General features: G+C 53.7%; 1 long non-coding RNA gene across 3 annotated transcripts in view, besides 12 other annotated features; it reads right to left on the reverse strand.

The window, feature by feature from the left end:
* ZMIZ1-AS1 (ZMIZ1 antisense RNA 1) overlaps window positions 1–23,948 on the reverse strand; it is a 124,123-nt gene that overhangs the window by 19,627 nt on the left and 80,548 nt on the right. The window lies entirely within an intron of this gene.
* Window positions 1,777–2,337: an enhancer, noted in NCBI's record as "H3K27ac-H3K4me1 hESC enhancer chr10:80724486-80725046 (GRCh37/hg19 assembly coordinates)". NCBI's record gives its function as "activates a minimal SCP1, AML or CMV promoter by ChIP-STARR-seq in naive H9 embryonic stem cells {active_cell/tissue: H9 hESC(naive)}" and the evidence as "EXISTENCE:reporter gene assay evidence [ECO:0000049][PMID:30033119]".
* Window positions 4,096–4,595: an enhancer, noted in NCBI's record as "H3K27ac hESC enhancer chr10:80726805-80727304 (GRCh37/hg19 assembly coordinates)". NCBI's record gives its function as "activates a minimal SCP1, AML or CMV promoter by ChIP-STARR-seq in naive H9 embryonic stem cells {active_cell/tissue: H9 hESC(naive)}" and the evidence as "EXISTENCE:reporter gene assay evidence [ECO:0000049][PMID:30033119]".
* Window positions 4,602–5,385: an enhancer, noted in NCBI's record as "H3K4me1 hESC enhancer chr10:80727311-80728094 (GRCh37/hg19 assembly coordinates)". NCBI's record gives its function as "activates a minimal SCP1, AML or CMV promoter by ChIP-STARR-seq in naive H9 embryonic stem cells {active_cell/tissue: H9 hESC(naive)}" and the evidence as "EXISTENCE:reporter gene assay evidence [ECO:0000049][PMID:30033119]".
* Window positions 9,208–10,139: an enhancer, noted in NCBI's record as "H3K27ac-H3K4me1 hESC enhancer chr10:80731917-80732848 (GRCh37/hg19 assembly coordinates)". NCBI's record gives its function as "activates a minimal SCP1, AML or CMV promoter by ChIP-STARR-seq in naive H9 embryonic stem cells {active_cell/tissue: H9 hESC(naive)}" and the evidence as "EXISTENCE:reporter gene assay evidence [ECO:0000049][PMID:30033119]".
* Window positions 10,423–10,542: a silencer, noted in NCBI's record as "silent region_2519". NCBI's record gives its function as "represses an Ori minimal core promoter by ATAC-STARR-seq in GM12878 lymphoblastoid cells {active_cell/tissue: GM12878}" and the evidence as "EXISTENCE:reporter gene assay evidence [ECO:0000049][PMID:35858748]".
* Window positions 10,583–10,652: a silencer, noted in NCBI's record as "silent region_2520". NCBI's record gives its function as "represses an Ori minimal core promoter by ATAC-STARR-seq in GM12878 lymphoblastoid cells {active_cell/tissue: GM12878}" and the evidence as "EXISTENCE:reporter gene assay evidence [ECO:0000049][PMID:35858748]".
* Window positions 10,823–11,312: a silencer, noted in NCBI's record as "silent region_2521". NCBI's record gives its function as "represses an Ori minimal core promoter by ATAC-STARR-seq in GM12878 lymphoblastoid cells {active_cell/tissue: GM12878}" and the evidence as "EXISTENCE:reporter gene assay evidence [ECO:0000049][PMID:35858748]".
* Window positions 11,694–11,743: an enhancer, noted in NCBI's record as "active region_3619". NCBI's record gives its function as "activates an Ori minimal core promoter by ATAC-STARR-seq in GM12878 lymphoblastoid cells {active_cell/tissue: GM12878}" and the evidence as "EXISTENCE:reporter gene assay evidence [ECO:0000049][PMID:35858748]".
* Window positions 17,069–17,569: an enhancer, noted in NCBI's record as "H3K4me1 hESC enhancer chr10:80739778-80740278 (GRCh37/hg19 assembly coordinates)". NCBI's record gives its function as "activates a minimal SCP1, AML or CMV promoter by ChIP-STARR-seq in naive H9 embryonic stem cells {active_cell/tissue: H9 hESC(naive)}" and the evidence as "EXISTENCE:reporter gene assay evidence [ECO:0000049][PMID:30033119]".
* Window positions 17,570–18,070: an enhancer, noted in NCBI's record as "H3K4me1 hESC enhancer chr10:80740279-80740779 (GRCh37/hg19 assembly coordinates)". NCBI's record gives its function as "activates a minimal SCP1, AML or CMV promoter by ChIP-STARR-seq in naive H9 embryonic stem cells {active_cell/tissue: H9 hESC(naive)}" and the evidence as "EXISTENCE:reporter gene assay evidence [ECO:0000049][PMID:30033119]".
* Window positions 18,550–18,629: an enhancer, noted in NCBI's record as "active region_3620". NCBI's record gives its function as "activates an Ori minimal core promoter by ATAC-STARR-seq in GM12878 lymphoblastoid cells {active_cell/tissue: GM12878}" and the evidence as "EXISTENCE:reporter gene assay evidence [ECO:0000049][PMID:35858748]".
* Window positions 19,309–19,500: a silencer, noted in NCBI's record as "fragment chr10:80742018-80742209 (GRCh37/hg19 assembly coordinates)". NCBI's record gives its function as "represses an EF-1alpha promoter that drives an FKBP-Casp9 reporter gene in an ReSE screen in K562 erythroleukemia cells {active_cell/tissue: K562}" and the evidence as "EXISTENCE:reporter gene assay evidence [ECO:0000049][PMID:32094911]".

The raw sequence follows: 23,948 nt of genomic DNA on the forward strand, positions 1-23,948 counted from the left end.
TAGGAAAGCCGCTTCTATATTGTTTTATCTGAGAATCTTTTTCCTCATCCGTCAAGTAGGGATAGCAGCTACCTATCTCGTAGGCGATTATGTAGAGTAAACACCCCGGCTCACTCCAACTTCTCCTTCAGGTCTCAGGCGTCACATCTCAGAGGTAATTCAGGCCCCCTGGGCCAGGCTGGGCTCCCTGCTAGGTCACCCACCCTAGAATGTATCACACTGTAAAGGGCGGGTCACCATCATGTCCCCGGGACCAGGCACAGCGTCAGACAGTGACAATGCTCAGAAAACTGCTGAGTGAGTGAGAAGCTGCCTCCTCCATCCTCGCCAGTCTCCGCCTCTCTGGAGAGGTGTTCTGCAGTGTCTGGTCACCCTGCAACCACCATGCAAGGAACCAGGGCTGGGCTGTCGCTGAGCAAGAACGCCTGCTCTGGACCTAACCTGCAGCTGGTTATTTAGGGACTCATGTAATTCCACGGTTGGCTGGAGAGCTGGCCCCCAGGGTCAGAGCTGGGAGGATAGGACACATTTGGGAAACCCTCCCACACCCCAAAAAGTGGACCCCCAGTCAGCCCCAAGGCCCAGAGGCAGCGCCGACTGGATGGAAATCTGAGCACTGGATCCAGCCTGCCCACTGTACAGATGGAAAGACTGCAGCTGGGGAGGGCGAGGCTTCCCTGAGCTCACACGGCAGGGACCGCAGCCAGCCTTCCTGTGCATACATGCAGGGAAAATTAGGGCAGGAAGCTCTGGGGATTGGGCTCCTTGCAGCAGCTTGCAGCCTGACAGGCTGCCCAGGCCAGAGAACCAGCCCCGAGGCCTCCTCCTGCCCCAGCTACTGTGGGCAGGCGCCCTGCTGCCCTTCGGAAGCAGCCCACGCCAAGCAGGCAGATGGTCGGCAGGCCCCCTCTTCGAGCCCCTGGGCCCAGATGGCCATCCCCGGCATTAGGTGGGGCATCATAGCAGCAGCAACAGGAAGCCTGCCGCCCGCCAAGGCCCATCGGAGAGGGAGGAGCAGGAGCTCCGGCCGTCTGGCCACCCTGCCCTGCCTCCCAGGGCCTGGCCATTGCTCTAGCTGAGCGACCTAGGAAGGCAGCATGCACAGAGCCAGGGGTCACTTCCAATGGTGCAGACCTCTCCTGGGGAATACTGTTGAAGGTGGCTCCACTCGGGGGGGACACAGCCCAGAACAGATGACTCCTTCCTGGGAGAGTGCCCCCCGCCCCTTCACTGCCTGCTGGTCAGTGACCAAGGGAATTGAGCCTCTCATGCTGCCAGAGACTTCAACCCCTTCAGCCCCTTGCATCTCCAAAGAGCTCCCTGGGGGTCAAGAACAACTATAACAGTAATAATAATAGCTAATGTTCCTTAAGGACCTGCACACTATTTTAAGATCTTTAGAGGTACAACCTCAATCCCTGAGGCAAGGCTATTATTATCATCCCCACTTTACAGATGAGAAAATAGAGGCTCTGAGAAGAAAAGTAAACTTGCCCAAGTCACACAGCTAGGAAATGGCAGGGCCAGGATTCAAACCCAGGCAGCCTGTCTCCAGAGCCCACCTTCCTAAGCACCACACATTTCTGGCTGGGCCCCCGCTGGTGAGTCCCACACAGCACAGTGCAGTGGGGCAGAGAGACACCCTACCTTGGGTTTCTGGGGGTGACTTGTCAGGTAATGAGCTGCCCATCACAGGCACTCACTTGCCTGGGCTGGTGCCTCCTGCAGTGGGCAAGGAGAAGCTCAGGTAAGCACTAAGAAGCAGATGGAAGGAGATATGCCATTGAGAACAGGCGTGTGTGTCTCTGGGAGAAGGCATGGGAGACCTAGAAGGGCAAACACACTTACACACAGCCTCACGCAAGGACACACTCACACGGTTGAACCCCTGATGCTCACACGTGAACACAGACATGAGTGAGCATGTGTGCACATGCATGTGGACACACAGACACACTCAGGCTGTTCTGGAGAGAAGTAGGACTCTACTATGACAACAGGACCAGCCTGAGAGCCCTTAACCTGCAGGAAGAGGTGCCCAATCTTGATGTTTGCCCCCAGAAAAGCATGCAGCAGCCCCTTCCCCTCTCTGAGACTCGACGTCCCCTCCCGTGCAAGGAAGGGGTTGTCTGAGGTCATCTCCAAGATCTTGGGCTCTGTGCCGTCTGGCCAGTCACCTGCGACTCTGTTCCCAGAGCCTGGCAGGGAGCTGTGACTCAGCAGCAAGAAGCCACGCAGGAGCCTGCCCGCAGCCCCCTCCCCTGCCAGCACACACAAAGGGCATCTTGTTACTGCAGCCGGCCAGCGGGAGGGCGGGAGAGGGCTGTGGAGGTGAGAGGCCAGGAAGGAGCCTGTGTCAGCAGCACTGGGGGCAGGGCGGGGAGGAGGCCCAGGCAGGGCTGCTGGCCGGCCACAGGGGCCCCAAGCTGGTGGGGAGGGCCCTTGGGGCAGGCAGCCGCAGGTGGGTGGCTGCAGGGAAAGGCTGGCCCCGGGCTCCTGCATGGAACCCTGTTTATTAAATTCCCTTTTCATTTGTAAGTTACAATCTGAATGAGCTCTCCTGGCAGCAGCTACACCCCTGGAACTTCCCAGCAATGTGGGGCAAAACCCATAGCCCAGGGCTCCCACTCAGAGCCTGAGTCTCGACTCTGCGTGATCGAGACATGGGTGCCCTTTGGATGAGATCATGGCCAGGTCGGTTTTGCCCATCTGTAAAACGGGGTTGCTGAGCTGAGGAGAGCTCGCTGTAACACACTCCCTGGCAAGATAGAAGTCACCTGGCTGGGACGTCCCAGACACAGGTTAGGACACCCTGGTGTCACACTTGCTGCTCCTGCTGTGGGACCCTGGGCAAACCACTTACCCTCTCTGGCCTCAGTTTCCCAGTTTATAAAATGGAGGTAGTGGGAGGTGAGAGGGAACTAGATAGAATATTCTTCCTGGAAATTGCTTGGGAATCATTTTTCCATGTGTCCTACATAGAAAAAGACATGAGACACTCAGGTCCATGCAAGTGAGGGGGTCAATCCAGAGTATATATGTACATGTGTACACACATGTGTACATGTGTGAACATGTGAGCAGACAAGCAGGTGTGTCCCCTCTCGAGTGTGTCCAGCCCTCAGGCCATGCAGGCCCTTCCCTGAGTAGAACAGGGCCCAGGGCAAAGGATTTCCAAGGCTGGTTATTCTTGACACTCAGGGACCCCCTAGACACTAGTGACTGATTTGAGAGGGCCAGGTAAGCTGTGGCCTTGCAGAGACCACTGCTCCAGACACTGTCTCCCCCAAGAATTCAGCAGAACTTGCTGTCAGTTGTCTGTCCACCCTAGACCGCGGTACCACCACTGGGCTGTATCACAAAGGACCCCATATACGTCGCATCCACATGAGTGCTGCCCATCCCCGCCTGAGCTGCACCCACGCCACAGCACTCTGAACTTTCTTGTGTGAGTATCTCACCTTCCCAGTGCCCATCTGTCTCCAGCTCCGCCAGGGAAGGAGCTCTGCATTCTGTCAGGAAAACAGATGGGACAGGCTTTTACGTACTGTGAAGTGCTGTGGGTGCTAGTTGTTCCACTGAATCCTTAAAATCCCACCCATCTCATGAGGTTCACATTCCCATTTAACAGATGAAGAAACGGAGGCCCAGGGGAGTGAGATAGAAGACCCAGGACCTGGATGGCTTCATAAGGGGACATGAGCACCACATCTGTGGTCAGAAGTGGATTCAGAAGCCCAAGGAGATTCAGAAGCTTGAGAATGGATTCAGAAGCTTGAGAAGTACAGACAATGACCCCAGAATCCCGGGCTGAGCCCGGTGACCTCAGTGAGCACAGAACCACCCTGTTAGCTGTGGTCTTAGGGGCAGCCAAGGCCTGTCTATCCAGCGAGCAAGCTAGCCAGCTGTGCTCAGATTCAGACTTCCCATCTGCCCTCCTGCCCATGAGGGATCCCAGGAGGCCTAGCACAGAGGGCTGAACTTCAGACAGAGACCAGCACTGGGGGCTCAGGCCTCAGGCACACCTCACCTGGCTCTTCTCCTGCCCTCCCTGCACCAGGGGCTGAGAGGACAGCAAAGCGCAGCATGGGTGGGCACTTCCCCAGGGCAGGTGGACTGGCATAGGCCAGATGCCGAACTTCCTGGCAATATAACGTCCCACTGACGGCCTGAAATGAGGAGTGGTTACGTGGCCTCTGGGGGCAACATTTAATAAGAGCTGCTATTTTAGGGATCCTAACTTGGCATGAGGCACTTCAAATTTGTTATTTACTTAGCAAATACTCCCCAGTTGCCTTTGAAGTTCTGGGTCCTAGGCGGGTACAAGGACATGATGGGGAATGAAGCAGACACAGCCCCTGCCCTCATGGAGTTCACAGTCTACTGAGGCGGAGGGGGGGCGCCATCTCTAAATAGAGACTCACATATAGATAAGAAACACAGAAGAGACCAGGATTCTACCAGTGTGGGAACCTGTCTGGAACTCAGAACCAAGGAGGACTTCCTAGAGGAAGTAACACTGATCCCAGATCTTCTGAAGAATGAATAAGAGCTATCTAGGCAACCAGGAAGGGAAAAACATTCTAGGCAGACAGAAGCTGAGGCAGGAGAGAGCAGTCTTGTTGACACCTGTAATTTTCATAATAACCTTAAGAGATGGAATAAGGCATCCCATTTTACAACTGAGGAAATTGAAACTCCAAGAGGCCAAATCACCCCAGACCCTACCCATCCAGTTGGGGTGCAGATCCAGACCCCGCACCATGCGCTGTGCATTTCCAGCCTTCAAAGCCTGGCACCTGATGCTGAAGCTTAGGAGGAAAGGTCATGGAGGGAAGAGGCCAGGTCTATCCCTGCCCACAGCCCACATGCAGGAAAGTGAGCGGGGACTCCCACATGTGTTCCCTTGCCCAGTGGCGAGCATCCCACACCCCTCCCAGACAGGGTGAGGGACAGGCATCTCCCCCAACAGCTTTGGAGCTGCTCACCTGTCCAGCAAGGACATGCCCCAGAGCCGCAGCCCCTCACCTGCCCCTACAGCCTGCGGAAAGTGTGGTTGCCTCAGCCTTCCCAGTCACCAGTATGTGAACTGTGGATCCTGCAAGGAGTGAGGGCCTGGGGAGAGCAAGAGGCCTCCCCAGACAACACCTCCCAGGGGAAGTGGCCCTGGCACTGAACCACGAGGACTTTGGATGAAGTGAAATGGAGCAGGGAAGGGAGCTCCAAGTATGGAGCTCAGAGAAGCAAAGGCATGGCAGCAGGGCGCACCAGGGGCAGTAGGGGAATAGTGAGACCTGCCCAGCAGCTGGAGTGTCCCTAATTCTCAGGGGCTACCAAAGCCCTAGCTCCAGAACTGCCCAAGGCCCATCGTGGACCAGACCCAGGACTCAACACAGCCCAAAGGGCACAGTACGAAGACGTAACCTTCCCTTTGGCTCAGTGTGTGAAGTGCTGTGGGTGCTAGCTGTTCCACTGAATCCTCAAAATCTTACCCATCTCATGAGGTTCACATTCCCATTTAACAGATGAAGAAACTGAGGCCCAGGGGAGTGAGATAGAAGACCCAGGACCTGGATGGCACTCCACGAGGGTGTGCTCACTCAGCTCTGGGACACAGATGGGAAAGTGAGCGAACAGACAACATGTGCAGGCCATCCTCACGGAGAGGCCGGTGTGCAGAGCTGCACCCACACCCTGCCCCATCCCAGAGCTGGGTAATGGGGCCAGGAGCAGAGGGAAGGCATACCAGGGCCTGGGAGCTGGCCAGGGGAGGCAGGGAAGCCCTTGTGTTTGTTTCACCTTGCTAACTTTCAGTCCTGAGGTCTGGAGCCCTAGGAGCCAGGCCAACTCCTTGGCCAGACCTCTGTGCAGAGCAGGGCTACAAGACATTCAGACAGTTCTCTGGGAACTCGGGACCATCGGTATCTCTATGCATTCTCCTAATGGCCTCAGCTCTGTTAAATATATTGATGTTCCTGGAATACAAATATCCATAATTTAATTTCCATAAAAGCTTCTTTTGCTTAGAAAAGAGTCCCTCCAAAGTGCCCTAAGCTATCTTCACTTGCAACTTAGGGTGGGGGCTGTTGTAGCCTTTTCGGAGGATAGCACTGCAGCCTGGGTGGGGCAGGAGGGTGGGTCTCAGCAGGCTCTGCTCCCTCATGTCCCTACTCAGCAGAGCTGAAGAAGCCCGTTGCCAGCCCTCAGGCATCCCTGGCCAGACCCACCTCCCACCCCAATCCCAGTTCCGTCTTAGGTCCTCACTTCTGCCTCACTGCCTCATACCCTTTGCTTCCTCATTCATAGGGACACTCTGATCAGAATTCATCCTGGCCCACTGCCTGTCAACCTCCCATAGCTCTTTTTTCTCTAGCTGACAGGCCAGTCTGGCTCCTACCTCCACGCCTAGCTCAGGTGCCTGAAATCCCACCCTGGGTCCATGCCTCAGGTCTCTACTTAGTCAGTAAGCCAGATGAGGCCCACCTGATATTAAATTTAATCCCAGAAGTCAACTCCAATTCGTTGGCATCAGTTTCCTGTGTTGAGAAGGATTCTGATGCTATATGGGGGCTCAACGGGAAAGGGTCATGATTGATGAATGATGTTAAGCACAGTACAGGAAGGATGTGCCACTGGTTTGCTGTAACCAGCCAAGATTCTTTAGCCATTTTAGGAGATGCAAATGTGAGAAGTGTCAGCTCCCAGTCCCATGCCCTGCTCTGTGCTCAGCCTTGGGCTGGGCTCAGAGGAAAGTTAAGAGAAAGGAAAAGTCCTGCCCTTTGACTGACTGGGAAGTGGGGAACACCAGAAGCACTGGATTGAGTTTCCCATCTCTACGTGAGCGTAGGGCAAAATGGCCCTAAAGGTTCTGAGGTCCAGGGAGACAAAGTAAACTGCCAGGGTGCGGCGTGGCCTCTCAAACACACGTGGAGCCTCACGAACCCACTGAGTAACAACAGAGGCTCTGTGTGGCTGGCCCTGAGGTACAGGGCAGCAGGCAGAGCTGAGGTCAGAGCGCGCACACACAGGTCAGAAGGTCAAGATGCTCCCTGTGCTTGGTGAACGCAAGCTGGGCTTTGAAGCGGGGTGAGATCTCTAGAGATCTGGATCTCATTTGCTTCCCAATCCCACCCCTCATAGGATGGGAACCTTAGAGAGGCTTCTTTGACCACCCAGACTAAAAGAGGTCCTCATATAACCCGTTATTCTCCATCTCAGCATCCTGATGTGTTATCACAACGTGCAATTCCTTTTTTCACCTACTAGTTCGATTTGTTTTGTCTGTCTGTCCCAATAGTCTGGGAGCCTCAGGAGGGTAGGGATTAGGTCTGTCTTATTCACTGTCTTCATATCCTAACACAGTGCAGCAATAGAACTGGTTCAAATCATGGTTGTTCAATTAATTAATAAACTGTAGCTGGCCGGGGTCACACACTCAAAACACCTGCAGGGTCAAGCAGACAAAGTCAACGAGTGAGGTGGACATGTGAAGGAACAAGTGCACAGAGTGGCCACGTGGCATATCCTCAGGCCATGCTCAGGGCAGGCCTCCCTGTGCTCCTGAAGTTGTGTTTATCTGACATATATGCAAATCGTTTGCAAGTAACCACAAGGGAATATCTTTTCTGTCTCCAAAGAAATATATATTTTTGGCGGGGCACGGTGGCTCACGCCTGTTATCCCAGCACTTCGGGAGGCCGAGGCGGGCAGATCATCTGATATCAGGAGTTTGAGACCAACCTGGCCAACATGCTGAAACCCCATCTCTACTAAAAATACGAAAATTAGCCAGGCATGGTGGTGCACGTCTGTAATCATAGCTACTCAGGAGGCTGAGGCAGGAGAATCACTTGAACCCGGGAGGCAGAGGTTGCAGTGAGCCAGGATCACACCACTGCACTCCAGCCTGGGCAACAGAGTAAGACTCCGGTCTCAAAAAAAAAAAAAAAAAGAAAGAAATATATACTTCTCCATTTTGCTAGAACAAATGATATTCTCGGTCCTTTTAAATTTTCCTACTTTTGCTAGAGTTGGGTGTACAGAGAAATATTTCCCTACTATACAGAAAAGTAACAGGCCAAGTGAGATGACCAGTCAGCCTCAGCATCAGGCGGCCCAGTAGGTCTCAAAATGGGGCCCTAAACCAGCAGCAGCAGTATCACCCGAGAACTTGTCAGAAATTCTCAGGCAAATTCTCAGGCCCACCCCAAACCCACTGAAGCAGAGACTCTGGGGTGGGGTCCACTAATCTGTATTTTAACAAGCCCTCCAAGGGATTTTCCCATATGCTCAAGTTTGAGAACCAGTGCAATAGGGAGCAGTGGAGACTGTGGTAAACTGGAGAACATACACCCGGCCTGTAGGGGCCTCTGCTGCTCAGCTCCAGCCCACAGTTGCCGCATAAAAACGTGAGCCCAGTGTGGCCAAACTCCCCAGTTATTTGAGGGAAATTGAAAATTCACACTTTCATGTGAAATGCCTTCATTTGTAAATAATGGTTTTTTTTTTTTTAATCTCACGTAGGCCAAACAAAATTTGTCTGCAAGCCTGGGCAACATAGTGAGACCCCATCTCCACAAAAAAAAAAAAAAGAAAAATTAGCTGGGCATTGTGGCACATGCCTATAGTCCCAGTTGCTTGGGAGGCTGAGGTGGGAGGTTCTCTTGAGCCCAGGAGGTCAAGGTTGCAGTGAACTGAGATTGCATCCCTGCACTCCATCAAGACTCTGTCTCAAAAAAAAAAAATTGTCCTCAAATGGAGACCAGCCCAGGTACAGCCAGAGTATGACCTGAGGGGTGGAGGCTTCTCCCCACAAGGAAAGATCCAGAAAGATGCTGTCACAGCTGTCCTTCCTAGACCAGCTTACCTCTAATGGACAGCCCAGACCCCATGCTTCCCTGGGACTCAGAGACCCCTATGTACCGTGTAGGACTGCTTCTGAGTTTTCAAATCCCAGCCAAGGTCCACAGGATCCAGCACTTCCCTGGGTCATGGACCAACAGGCTTGGACAGGCAAAATTCTGGGCCTTGAGATCAGGGTTCAAGGCAGGGCTGGGGGTAGACAGAGAGTACACTGTCCTTTCCTGAGCCCCTATTCCATGACAAGTACATTCCATGACATATACTCAGGGCTCATAGGCATTCTCTCTTTAACTTTTGCAACCTCTCCATGGAGTAAGGGTCACTATGCACATTTTAAAGTAGAGGAAAAAGGGGTTCAAAGAGGTTATGTGACTTTCCCCAGGTCATAAAGCTAGCAGATGAAGGAGCCAGGCTGTGACCCCACATGCACCTGCCTCCCAGCCTATGTAGATCCTAATCTTCCCAACTACCTGCCCCCCCGAAGGATGGGAAAGACTGGGAAGTGGCCAGGGTTGGCCTGCTGTGGCCCTGGAGCCTGCCTCCCTGATCAGGGTCACAACCAAGGCTACGATTCCAGTGCCAGGGGACCAAGTCCAGCAAGCAAGCCCTGGCTGGGGGGGCTGCAGGAGTGAGCAATCCTGGGGAAGGAGCAAATGTGTGCCCTGCTTCAGCCTCAGGGGGGTCTGTCCCTGCATGCAAATCTCCAACCTGGAACTGGGAAGCTTTGGCAGCTGGGCCAGCCCATAGAGAGGGAGCAGGGCCAGAGCTGGGAAGGTTCTAGACCCAGCCAAGCAGCAGGGGCCTGAGCTGTAGCTTGAGTCACAGCCTTGCCTTGGTCACACTAGCCTTTCCGAAGGCCCAGCCGTCAGCACTGGCCCTGGGGTGGACCCCTGTGAGGCTGTGTGGTTGCCAGGGAAGCCAGAAGAAATGACTTACTCCTGCCCCTGCCTCTAATGTCATGCGGTCACAAGTCCCCAGAAGGTCTGGGCTGGCCTGGGCCCTTGCCCTCCCCACGGTGGGGGCTCACCCAGCCTGGGCGCGCTGGTCACACTCAGCTCTGGCCAGGCATGAGTCAGCACTGTCAGCCTGCGTGTGGCCACAGCTGGCTGGACGCTGAGGCCAGCCAGGCCGGGCCCTGGAGGTCTGCTGGGGCCCTGGGGCCTCACTAAAGGGGAGAGGTGGCCCCAAATGACCCACAGGATCACACAAGAGAGAAGAAAAAGGACTAAATAGAGAAAAGCCAAGTACAAAGTAAGAATCTCAAAACTTAAAGTGGCAGACGCAAATTCAGAGTCAGGAAAATTGGCCACACAACACAAACAGACACACACACACGGGTCACTAGCACACGTGTAACCCCCACTCCAGACAAACACCATATGCAGAAGACACACATGCCATATATACACATCCTCGCAGTGTCCCTGTGTCACGCGGAAAAAGCCACGCCTACACAACTCAGCAGACACACACTGGCATTCCCAGAGGATGAGCCCACACAGGCGCCGCAAGCCCGCCGCAGGTCCCGCATGCACTGCCTGTCTGTGACAGATGGCTTCTGTCCAACCCAAGGGTCCGGCCCACAGCCCTCGGCTCACACGGCCATACAAGTCTGGGGACATCATGTCACGCTCGCTTACTCTAAGGGCCCTGAGGCTTGTGAGGGCTGTGGTCAAAGACAGGCCTGGGAACTGGGGTCCTGAGCACCCTAGCCCAGCCCAGTCCCGCCCCGCGGAGGGGCCCGACTGAGCTGGGCCGCGCGCCCCAGCAGCCCCAGCAGCCGCCGCCCACCTCGGCCAGCCTGGCTTCTGCGCCCCGCCAGGAGGTCGCGGAGCGGAGCGCGGCCAGGAAGTGAGCTGAGAGTGACAGCTCCCCCCACGCTGTTTGTTTATTCATGACTCATTCTCTCCACACACTGGCTCTTCTTTCTTTCGGGAGGAGGGGAGAAAGGAGCGGGAGGGCGGGCGGGCAGGGGAGAGGCAGGCTCCACAATAAACAATGAGGCAGCTGAGCCGGTGGGGAGGGAGGAGCCCGCGCGGGGCGCAGGGCCGGGGCTGGGGCCGGGGCGCGGTGTTTCCAGGCCGGCCGGCCCGAGGCTTGCGCTCCCGATCCCCGATCCCCGATCCCCGATCCCCGCTCCTCCCGGCCCCGCCCGGCCCAGCCCGGCCCGGCCCGCCCGCCGCCACCTCCCGGCGACCGGGCAGTAGCAGCCGTAATTGGATCCTCGCTGCCTCCTCCCAGCTCCCCGCCCCCAATCGGGGAGCGGGTAAATGCCGGGTACCTTGGCAAAACAGTCGGATCCAAACCTATTATTTGACTAATGGGCTTCCCTCGTGCGGCTCCGCAACGCCCTGCAGACTCGCCCCTCCCCCCTGCCCCCTCCCCAGAGATGGCTCCCCTCAGCGGCGCGGCTCCGGATAACTGGAGGAAGCGCGGGTTCCGAGGCTTCAAGGGCCTCATTGTTCTGCCTGGAGGGGCACATTGAAAATGCTCCAGGGTTTACTTCCTGTGAAAACAGCCTGGGAGGGAGGGGGCGATCCACGGTGGAAAGACATTATCCTCCTGGAAGCCGCCCAGATTACACAGGGAGAAAAAGGTTGTTTTGATTGTTGCTGGCTCTTTCTTTCTTCCTTCCTTTTTCTTTCTTTTTCCTTTTTTTCCCCTTCCCTCCTCTCTTTTGCTACCCTCCCCGGGCCAAAGATGAATCTTTACTGCTGTGGAGCAAGTTGGAAATGTGGGGCTGTTTTCTGCATAAATAAGGCTGGTGAATGGCAGAGCCAGATATAAAGTCTGATTCAGAGAAATTCAAAAGAATGCAGGGGCGATGAGGTGGGCAAATCCAAGAAACTCATTTCCCCAGCATGCCCCTCTGAGTCACGTCTTGCACCATGAGGGGAAAACACATCACGCCACAATATGTCACATGCCTGCCGCAAAGGAGCAGGCCCGGTGGGAGTCACACAGCTCCTTCCTCCCCAGCCTGGCTCTGCAAGTCCAGAACCACAGAGAGCAAAGTGTCAGCCGGGAAGAGGCGAGGGTCGGTCCCACCAGGCTCCAGGTCAAAGCCTTCTCCTAAGTGAGCTGGGGCAGGAATAGTACTATAGCAGCAGCGCACCCTTGCACAGCGCCCACTAGGTGCAGGGGCCTGTTCTGCGTGCTTTCCATATATTCCCTCATTTAATCCTCACCACGACCCTGCAAAGCAGGTGCTTTTACTCTCCTCTTTTCCAGGTTAGGAAGCTGAGCCCAGAAAGGTTAAGGAATTGCCGAAAGCCACACAGCTGGTGAGCAGGGAAGCCAACCCAGCAGGCTGGCTGCGGGGTCCACGAGCTTGGCCACTGCACTGACACTTCCCAGCTTCCTCAGACTTGTTATTGGAAAGTGGAGACAGTGACACCAGCCTCAATGGGAGCTCAGGAGGGTGCATTAGGAAAATCCAGGCAAACTGTTCAGGACAGCACTAAGCATTAGCTCATGTTGATGGTGCTATTGTTTTCAAATAAACTGGACCCATAAGAACAATTCCTTCCTAACTCACAGGGTTGTCTTGAGGGTTAGGAGAGACCAATTCAAGAGGCCGTCCCCAGGGCAATGCCTGGCCCTCGGCAGGTGCCCGTGGATATTGGTTTTCTTCTGCTTTCTCTGCCTCCTTTTCCCATCCCTTCTCACTCAACCTGAAGATTCTTGTCTTGAGATTTTCCCATGTACCACCCAGCAGAGTAACCATACAGGCACCTCTCCCAAGATCCTCAGCCCCACTGCCGTTCCTGTCAAACTGGGTGGAACTCTACATGGGCCCAGAGTGCCAGCCTTACGCGGGCCTGCCCTGACCACTATGCGGCGACTTCAAAGTGGCTCCCCCAGCCCCTGCCCCCTCCACCTGCACAACTCCATTTGGCTCCGTTCAGCTTGTTCTTTTGGCCACAGCCTCATGGCCCTCTAACACACTCTACAATTCACCTCTGACCGTATTTGTGATGTTTTCTGTCCCCCACCTCCTCCAGCTAGAGTGTAAGACCCACAAGAGTGAGGATTGCCACTTTGTTCACTGATGCATCCCAAGCATAGGAAGCCCCAGTGAGTGTCTGCGGAACGAATGAATTCCCGCTTGTTGACCACTCTTCCCTGCCCGTTGCCTCCTGTATTCACCAGAGAAACTCCCACTCATCCTACAGACCCCTGCCTCTTGGAAACCCTGCCCCATGCCACCCACCCCTGCTTCCTTGCTGACAGCTCACAGTGCACCCTCCTTTAGTCATATCCCTTGTCACTGCGCTTTGCCTCACCGACCTTCCTTCCCAGACCTCCCCACTGGCCCTTCTGGGACCCCACTTCCTTTAAGAGCACCCCCTCTGTCCTCAGCCTTGTGATGGAGGCTTTGCCGCTGGTGACCCATCTCCTCTATCCTCTCTGGGGCGGCTGTTTCTGTTCCTACATCTCACTCCCTTGTGTGGTTCCCAAGATCCCCACATCCCTTTCACATCCCTAGGGGTGTTTCCAGACTGTGAGGCCATCAGACCCTTTCTTTTTTTTTTTTTTTTTGAGAGACAGGGTCTTGCCATGTTGCCCAGGCTGGTCTCGAACTCCTAGGCTCAAGTGATCTGCCCACCTCAGCCTCCCAAAGTGCTGAGTTTACAGACATGAGCCACTGCACCCTGCCCTAGAATGGGATTTTTTTTTCTCATTTAGGGTTCATGCCTCCTGATTCTACTACTTTCCCCTCTCTCCCAACCTCTTGGATCCCACCTTCCTAGCCAGCATCTTTTGCTCCTGAACTACCCAGCCTCAGGTCGCTGCCTCTCCTTCCCTGTCCAAGGTCTGCCAGCAGCTGATGGCCTTCAGCATCCATGTGGGTGACCCATCCAATACCTGGACTCCCCGGACCTCCAGCACCCTTCTCCAGGGACCCTCTAGCCTACTCAAGTCCAGCCCCCAATCCCAGGCCACCACTCGAAACTGCTTTTCCTCTTCCATCTTAACCCCAACATCTCTTCTTTCCCTCTGACCACATTCTCCAACTGCTCCAATGGTTTGGTCATCAGAATGACCCTCTCACCAGCACCCCTGATTTCTTAGTACCCCCATCCTTCCCTTCATCCGCCCAGCCAGACTTAACAGGGGCCAACCCAACCACACTCTTTACACGGCAAGCTTAGGCTGGCAAGGGCCCACAGCATGAAGATTTGGCGCCAGTGTCAACATGAGGTCTCCAGTCTCAACTGCACCGTGGACATGAACCCAAAGTCCTCTGCCTGCTTGCCGGCCTCCCATTTCCCTCATGGGTTCTTTGTCTCACTGACCTTCACCCTTCTCCCTCTGCCAACCTCAATTCCCAGAGACACTTGGCTTCGTCAAAATATGAAGGCCCTTTGGTGGGACCTGCTGCCCCTGCCCTGCCTCCAAACACAGCCCCACACCCATCCTGAGTATCCTCTGTCCAGAATCAGAGGGTAAGGAAGGTCTCTCTTCAGCCTGCCAGCCCACCCTTGCAGTGAGGTGCTGGGCAGGCCCGCTCTGGAACCTCGCCCATCTCTCCCTGGCCTACAGCATGTCCCTCTCTACCAAGACTTCCTGCTCTCACCAGGCCTCTGCATGTGCTCACATCTCTCCCATCCTAAGGAGATCTTCCCTAATCTCTGCCTCTCCCTGGCAGGCCACTTGCTGTCCTCTTCTTGTGGGATACTTTACTGCATTCAGTGCAGTCCCCCACATCCTCACACTTAACAGCTGTGTCCTCCCCGGGACCACGTGACATCACCATTTCTGCTAGCCTCCTACCTCTCTGACCATCCCTCCTCTCCTGCGGGTGCCCCTTCCTCCACCCACTCACTAGAGGCCAAGGATGGCAGGGAGAGATCCCTTCTTCCCTCTGTGGGTCTTCCTGGACCGTCTCACCACCCCTGTGGTTCCCCCACTGCTGTGGGCTTATCCTTTCCAGACGTACACGTCTGGCTCAGCCTCTCCTGCCCTCCAGACCCTGGGTTTCCAGCTGCCTCCTGGGGTTCTGTGGCCACCTTAACACCTCATAGGCACCTCAGACTCACCATGTCTCAACCTGAGATTGGCCTTGAGTTTCCAAGTCGGCTCCACTCCCGGAATTCCTCAGGGCTGGGTTGCACCACTGCTCAGCCCCAGGACAAGGCCACCTTGACTCCTCCCTCTCATCCCACACACATCCCATCAGTCTCTGGGTCCCAACAACTTGACCTCCTAAATGTTTCTCAACCCGTCCCTCTCCCTGTCCCGCTACCACAGCCCAAGGTCAAGCCCTCATCATCTCCTGTCTGGGTTATTGCAACAGCCTCCCCTGCCTCATGCCTCTGCTCACTGAGTCAGCTGCCACACTGCTGCCAGGGTCACCACTTAAAATGCAAATCCAAACAAGCCGCTCTCCAGCTTTAGAACCTGTAAGATGAAATCAAACTGCTAAGGGTGGCCCACCGGCAGACCCAGTGCCCCACTGAGCCTCCAGAATCCTCTCCCTCCACCCTGGGCTGGGGTGTGTGTTATCACAGCACAAGGCAATAATCACTTCACACAGCTTCATGCCTCCCTGGTTTTGTTCACGCTGTTTCATCTGCTGACAGCACTCTGCCCCATTTTCAGTCTGCTTAATTCTCTCGTCTTTCAAGACTGATCTCAGGCGCCTCCTCTTCCAGAAAGCCTCCACTGACTACCCCTCCTCCCACCTGAGGCTGATGCTGTGCTAGGGGATAAGATCATTCTGTTCAAAGTACTTGTTTAGGCCAGTGCGGTGGCTCACGCCTGTAATCCCAGCACTTTGGGAGGCTGAGGCAGGTGGATCACCTGAGGTCAGGAATTCAAGACCAGCCTGGCCAACATGGTGAAACCGCATCTCTACTAAAAATACAAAAAATTAGCCTGTAATCCCAGCTACTCAGGAGGCTGAGGCAGGAGAATTGCTTGAACCCAGGAGGTGGAGGTTGCAGTGAGCCGAGATCCTGCCACTGCACTCCAGCCTGGGAAACAAGAGCGAAACTCCATCTCAAAAAAAAAAAAAAAAAACAGTGCTTGTCGAGATGGGTGTCTTCTCCATAAAGTGTAGGATTCTGTTTTGATATCCATACCCTCAACACCCAGAACTGACTAGGTGCTCAGGAGAAATAGGTGGAGGTAAGAAAGATGCCTGGCACTCAGTGGATACCCAGCTCATGCCCAGCTATCCTCTCCAGCCGTGCTCCAAGCGGAGCCTAAGGGTGGCTCCTCCTTCCATACTTAGGAAATCTTGAAAGTATTGGCCGGGCACAGTGGCTCACGATTGTAATCCCAGCACTCTGGGAGGCTGAGCTGGGTAGATCACCTGAGATCAGGAGTTCAAGACAAGCCTGGCCAACATGGTGAAACCCCATCTCTACTAAAAATACAAAAATTACCCAGGCATGGTGGCACACGCCTGTAATCCCAGATACTCAGGAGGCTGAGGCAGGAGAATTGCTTGAACTCAGGAGGTGAAGGTTGCAGCGAGCCAAAATCGGGCCACTGCGCTCCAGCCTGGGCAACAGAGCAAGACTCCATCTCAAAAAAAAAAAAAGTATTGTGTTGCCTTCCACCCTTTCCAGCGGATGGGTGGCTGAACTGGGCACACCATACAGCATTTAAAATGAGCAGTGTACAATTTTTGGCCAAATCTAAGCCAGATCTTCCCCAGCAGCTCTGTCCCAGCTTTGCATCGGTGTCTGTCACTGAAGCTCCCTTTCTTCCAGCTCTATCTCAACTCCAGCACCTCCCCTCCAAGCTCTCCCTGACTCAGTTTAGTCCCCATACATAGAACCAAGCTGGGGCCGGGAAAAAATGCACCCACCAGGAAGCAAGAAGCACGGTTCTACTCCCGGTTCTGCCATTGACCCCCAGTGTGATCTGAGTTGATGCATCCCACATGGGGCCTCAGTTTCTCCCTTATACTTATAGAGTTATAAGTATCCCCCTTATTCTTACAGAGTTAAGAATAGAACCAGAGTACCCTTTGGGACTTTAAGATCTACATAGAGAATTCCTGGAGGCTATGAATGAGGGTGCAGCCTCGACGTCACCAAGGCGCTCGTGAGATGATTGTGCCCCCATCCATAGGGACCCCATAGACACAGCCTCCTCTCTGCTCTCTATGCATTTTGCTTTTCACCTCCAGCCACAAGGCAACTCTGGTTGTTAAAAATAAAAACAGCCCAGAGCCGCCAGATCCAGGGATGACAACTCTTCTAAACCAAGGGAGGGGGTGCTGTTTTTGTTACAGTCACTGAGCTTGACTCTAATCCAGGAAAATCAAATCGAGACATGACTTGGCCCCTCCGAGCTGGTTTGACCCCAGAGATGTGGGTCAATCCTTGCTGTGGTGGCATCTGAGTATTTCATGCCAACATCACAGAGCAAGAGACAGGAGCACGGTTTATGCGTACTGGGACAGTCAGTGAGATTCGGTGAAGGACATGAGGTACCTAGGCAGCACTGGGCTTCAGGCTGGCACCGGGGAAGGACAGACAGGAGGCAACCCCCTCCTTGGTCAGCCCCAAGAGCATCAGCTGTGCCCCGAGTCGGGGGACTCAGAACATTTAGAGAAAACTCCACAGAGGAGGCAAAATTTGAAAAAAGGGAGAGGAGCTACGACGGCATCAAGAAGGGGCAAGGCATGCCTTTGACCGTGTCACTCCTGCAAAAAGCCTTCCTTGGCTCCCCGCTGTCAAGTGGATGAAGTCCAGACTCCTCAGCTGGCAGGCAAAGGCCTTCCCATGCTGACCCCAGGGTGACCTCTTCCCTCCAGCATCCCTGGGCTCCCCATTCTGTCTCACCCTTCCTCACACACCCTGGGTGTCAGCCTGGGTGGCCACATATGCCAGGCTCTGTTGCTCTCCAGTGGCTTTGCACATGCCATCTGCAGAGAATGAAACGCCCTTCCCACCGCTCGCTGCCCCATCTTGACTTCATCTTCATGGAAAATCCCTTCGTGCTCTTTCAGTCCCACCTCCAGTGACCCTTCTCCACGGAACCTGCCTCAACTCACCCAGCTGGAGTTGAACCATTTGTCCTCCGCTTCTGCAGAGCAGCCCTTTATGTTCAGACAAACAAACAAATAAACAAAGATGTGCTCCACCAGACAAAAATAATCCCTATCCACTAAGAAACATGTTGCTGCCCAGCTTTCGCAATTGCTGTCTCACTTGATTCTCACACTCTGTGGGGTAGGAAGGAAAAGAGTAGCATTGGCTACAGTTCATGATGAGGCACCTGAGGCTCAGAAACCTCGGGGCACTCAGTCATGGTCACTCAGTCACTTGCTAGCATTGAAGAGATCGGCTCTAGATTCTTGACTCTAGAAGGGAAGACACCCAGTTCTGACTTGGTTTGCCCATCTGTCTACCGTACCTCCCTGTCTTCTCAAGGGAACCCCTCATTCCTTGAAGGGGGGGGCCTCATCCAAATCACATGGTGTCCCCTAGAGCACCTAGCTCAGTGCTCAGCACACAGTAGGTCTGATGGTTTCCCAACAAAGAAGTGGAGTCTGAGCAGTGCTGGGGGAGAGGATGTGCAGAGGGAAGGTTCCTGCCAACCAGGGTGGTGTGTCTGGGTCAAGAGGAAGAAAAGGTGATGGGCAGACTGGGGTAGGCAGGGTGAGGCCAACCAGGCCATTCAGGCTGATGCATGGGCAATGGGGAGCCATAGGAGGTTGTAGAGAAAGGCCTGCTTCAAAGGGACTCCAAGCCAGAGCCCCAAGGGAAGAGGTGTGGCCATAAGAGGGACTTCCCAACCCAGGCCAGAACCCCACACTTCCCCTAGCTCAGAGGTGGCTGCGGCTCTGCATGCAGACTTAGGAGGACAGCTTCCTCTCCAGGTGAGAGACGTCAGACACAGCTATTGTGAGGGTCTGGGGAGAGACAGGACAGAAGCAGCAGACCCTGGAGTAGCAGCCTGAATGCACCTCTCCCGGGGGCTTCCCAGGGTTAGAAAAGGCCTGGCTCTCCAGGAGGCTGGGAACAGAAGAGAGAGTGGAGAGTGCCAGGAGTCCCCCAGCCCCAGGCCCTGCAGGAGGGAGGAGAGCTCTCTGCCACCTCAGCCCAGCCCTGCTCCGGGGAGCGCTCCACACACCACCAGCAGACAAGTCTCCAGACAGTGCTCGTGTGTCAGCATTTCTGAAGATGTGGAGGAGAAGTCTGTGGATTTAATGGGACAGCAGTCTGCAAGGAGAACCAACAGGATGGGATGGGGAAGGAGATGCCTCCGCAGGGCAGATGGACAGCAGCCTGGGCACCCAGCCACAGCCATGCAGGGAGCTCTCAGCAGGCCACATTCCTCACATGCTGCAGGGAGGTGGCGCGTCAGGGCAGAGAGGGCTGCACTTGCCTGTCCCGGTCACTAGCACCACATATAGAGTGTGGCTCCTGAGAGGGGGCCCAGGCACAGCCACAGCCAAGAAACTTGCCAAGGGAACATGCTCCAGTTCCCACATGGACCCACATGGACTCTCCACGGCCAGTGGCACAGTCTGCCCCCTGCCTGGGCTTCCCGGACCCTACACATTTGACCCCAGGGCCCCTCACCCCATCATCTCTCAGGCTTCCTAGATGTCTTCCTAGATCTCCACCTCTAGCCCTTACACAGATCATTTCCCCAACTTGGACCAGGTGGCCAGGTGAAATACTGGGTGCTCAGTTAGCTTTGGATTTTAGGTTAACAATGAGTGTTTAGTATAAGTATGTCCCATACAACACGGGAGATACTATACTACAAATGTATTCATTCTTTACCCGAAATTCACCGGGGCATCCTGTATTTTTATTTTCCTAAATCTGGTAACTCCAATGTCAATGCCCCAATCCCTCAACGCCGCCTTTAGTGACAGGCATTCTTCCTTCCATCTAGAGGGTAGGCCCTGTTGGCTTTGCCTTCTGAGGGCCTCTGTCTTCCATTCTGTTCCAGTTTCTCTGTTGCTGTATACTAAACTACTCTACAACTTAGTGACTGATAATGAAAACGATTTTATTCTATCTTGAGATTTGTGTTGATCAGGAATTCACACAGGGTTCAGCCGGGTAAATCTTCCAGTCCCTATGGCGTGCATGGGTGCTACTCAAGTACTATTCAGCTGGTGGATGGGCCCTTCTGAAAGCCCTGTGTTGGCTTCACTCGCATGTCTGGCATCATGATGGGGACGCCTGGAAGGCAGAGCTCCACTGAAACTGTCCTCCAGAGCACCTGTCACGTGGCAGCCTTGGGGTAACTGGATTCCATGGGGGCTCAAGGCTTCCACATGGAGTGTTCCAAGGATCCCAAGCAACCTGTGTGCTTTCTTATGACTCAGCCTTGGAAGTCCCAAACATCACTTCTGCCACATTCTATTTACTGATCAAGCAGTTCAATGCAAGGGCCAAAAATTAGACTCTATTTCTTGATAGGAGGAGCAGCAACGATGTGCAGCCATTTCTGATCTATCACACGTCGCCTCCTCTCCATCCCCTCCACACCGCCCAGGCTCAGACACTCATCTCTGGCCTGTGCGCTTTCCAGCCTCCTTCTGACCTGTTTCCTCACCTCTGCCTTCTGATCCATCCTCCACTTCAGCTACTATGAACTCATTTTTCCTAAGATCCTGGATTGACTATGTTGCTTACTGCTTGATCATTTTCATTGGATCCTTCCTAGACTCTAAGCTCCACAGGGACAGGGAACAAGACCTTTATTTTTTCACTGAGGTGTGCCCAGTACCTAGCACAGTCTAATATATAGTAAGTGCTGAGTAAATATTAGTGGAATAAATACCTGAAGGAATGAGCTGTGGGATAATGTCCAAACTCCATAGCCTGATATTCACACATTTTGGTAATATACCGCCTCATCTTGTCACCTTGAATGTAGCCCTATCATACTTTCCAACATTCCTTAAACGTGTTTCTTCCCTCAATGGCTTCTCATGGTCTGTTCTCTCAGCACATGCTGCTCGTCCTCTCTTACCTACCTTATGAACTCCTATGCATTCTTCACAGCCCTGCTCAAGTATCACTCTCTCTCTGAAGCACCAGTTCCCACAGCTTTTTTCCATGTCAATCAACAATACATTTGTCTCAAATGTAAATTCCACCTGAGATCTAGCTCCCCAAACACATAGTATGGGTAAACGGCTTCCTGAGATCAGGGGCAGCCTGCTAAGTAAGTCAGGCACTTTAATAAACATTCATGGAGGACAACTAAATGCCTCTCCCTTCTCTCAGCCTGAGCAGCATCTCCCAAGGACGTGTTATGGCCTCATTTCTCACAGCAAACCTTTCCTGACCACCACTTCCCACAAATATGCACCATGCTTTATTGGGCCCTAATTTCCCACTGCAGTTAGCCCACACTCATTAGACACTAACTGTATACTGACAGACACCACTCATCCTTCTGATAATTCAGCTAAGATTCCCTGGGAACCTCCAGTAAGTAGGACCTGCACCAGGTACTAGAGACTTGGGGACTTTTGCCCTGCTGCCTGGAGTTCACAGTCTGCTGGGTAGACAACAAGTAAACAAGCAATGGCAATAGAGATCCTGGGGGTGCATATGAGGGATGGCTCTCAGGAGGGACCCTCCATGCCATCATGGGCTGGGGAGGTTGCCAGGGAACTGAGGTCTAAATTTGTACAAAGGAAAGATAGAGGGAACATGGGCAAAGGTCTGGAGGGAAGAACTCATTTCAGGAAACAATTAAAGATCATTTGGGCTGGAACATAGAAAGCAGGGATGGGGAAGGGGGGTTAAGGCAAGAGAGGAAATCAAAAGCCAGGTTGTTAAGGGCCTTCCACATTCAATAAGACACTGGGGCTTCCAGGCAGAGGCCCATAATGCTAATTAATAAGAGTAGCAGCTGGGTGGGGTGCAGTGGCTCATGCCTGTAATCCCAGCACTTTGGGAAGCCGAGGCAGGCAGATCACCTGAAGTCAGGAGTTGGAGACCAGCCTGGCCAACATGGTGAAACCCCGTCTCTACTGAAAATACAAAAAGTAGCCAGGCATGGTGGTGGGCACCTGTAATCCCAGCTACTCGGGAGGCTGAGGCAGGAGAATCACTTGAACCCAGGAGGCGGAGGTTGCAGTGAGCCAAGACTGTGCCATTACACTCCAGCCTGGGCGACACAGCAAGACTCTGCCTCAAATAAATAAATAAGAGTAGCAGCTGACCTCTATTGCCCCGGTGCTGTGTGCCAGGTTGCTTACCTCCATTCAATCTTCCCGGGTGCACTTTGAGATGGATATGGTGATGACCACACCTCGTTTCCATAAGAAGCAGCACTGACTCAAAGCTACCCTACACTTCACCTCAGGTGGCACACCTAGTAAGAAAGAGCTGAGTTTCAGCCCAGGCTGCCTGACACCAGATCCTGTATCCACAACTGCCCATTTACTGAGAAGGGAGCTCAATGGATGGGGACAGAGTCCCATTAGCACTTTCATGGCCTTTCATCTGGGCAGGACACGGTGCCCTTATCGTGAGAGTCAGAAGGGCTCTGAGAAGCCCTGAGTTCTTGTGCCATGTTGGGTTACCCATCCCTAAAATCAGAAGGCTGGAGGACTTCAGTTGATGCCAGGATGGGGATGAGCTGCTCCAAGTCTTCCCTCCACTTCAGCCTGCAGCTCCCAGAGAGCCATGCCCAGGCCTGCCTTTCCCCTGGGCTCCCCCTAGGACGCCGAGGATAGGGCCAGGGTCCCTGCAGGGCCTCAAGGGCACTAGGACTGATTCCACTTCATGACACCAAATTCAAAGAACCCAGCCTCCACTGTCATAGGGCTCCTCTTAGCAAGCAGGTGCCCCTCTCCCCAACAAATACCCTCTGGAGTTCAGGTAGGGGAGAAGGGACAAGGCTACTCAGAGACACCACTGTGCTGGCGCCCAGAATGGCCATGGGGTGAGCCCAGTGATGGTGGCACACGGCAAACCCTGCTGTATTGGGACCAAGCCCAGGTTCCCTAGTCTGGCCTCTCTAAGAAAGAGTTCCAAAGGGGAGAGGGGCTGGCCCAGGTCACACAGCAGGTCAGTGGTGGGTTGGCCCCTGGCCCAGCCAGCAGTCCCCTTTGTTATCAATCACTAATGCTGTGCCTGAGAGGCTGACTATGGTCATCTGGTCAGCTGGTCATCATCCGAGGTGCTACCATTACCACCACAGCCATTCAGAGAGAAAGAGTGAGCAGCCCGGTGTCTCAGTGTCTGCAAGGCACTCTGCTGAAGGCTCCAGGCTGCCCTTGATAAATGGGCATGGCTCAAAGCCTCTCAGCTGTCTGGGGACAGCCTCAGAATGGTGAAGGTGGAGGGAAGAAAGGCGTGCAGCCAGACGGGTCTGGGTTCAATTCCTACACTGCATTCCTAGCTGGGACCTGGAATTTCAGAATGGGAATTCAGAGAGGAAGTTCCAAATTCTTGCTTATCTCAGTCATTGTGATAATGGCCTGGTGGTTATGGAAGACGATGTTCCTATGTCAGAGACACACATTGAAGTGTATGAAGGTGACATGTCATGAAGACTCAAGCTTACTCTTATCCCAGAGCTGCCCAAATGCTATTGCATACATGGATCTCATGGGAACTCTATTAAAAGGCAGATTCTGATTCAAAGGGACTGGGGTGGGGCCTGAGATTCTGCATTTCTAACGAATTCCTGGCTAAGCCCATGCGGCTGGTCCACAGAATACACTTGGAATAGAGAGGATTTAGGATTCTTCAGCAACAGCATCAGCAAAGAAAGATAAGGCAGCCAGGATGGAACTGGATTATGATGGAAGCTGGGTGGTGGGGTAAAAGGAATTCATTATGCCAGTCTCAAGACTTTTTTGGTATGTGGGAGCCGGAGGAAGGAATGGGGAGTGACTGCTAATGGGTACAAGATTTCTTTGGGAGATGATGAAAATGTTCTAAAATTAGATTATGGTGATGGTTGCACAATCTGTAAATATACATGGAACCATGGAATTGTACACTTTAAATGGATGAACTTTAAACAGTAAAGCTGTTAAAAAAAAGAATCGTAACTTTTTCATGGGGTCTTATGAGAAAGAAATGAGCGTATGTAAAATGCCTAGTGCCCTGGGAGGTGTAATAAATGAAATT

The sequence above is a fragment of the Homo sapiens genome, chromosome 10 (genome assembly GCF_000001405.40).
Source record: "Homo sapiens chromosome 10, GRCh38.p14 Primary Assembly".
Taxonomy (NCBI): domain Eukaryota; kingdom Metazoa; phylum Chordata; class Mammalia; order Primates; family Hominidae; genus Homo; species Homo sapiens.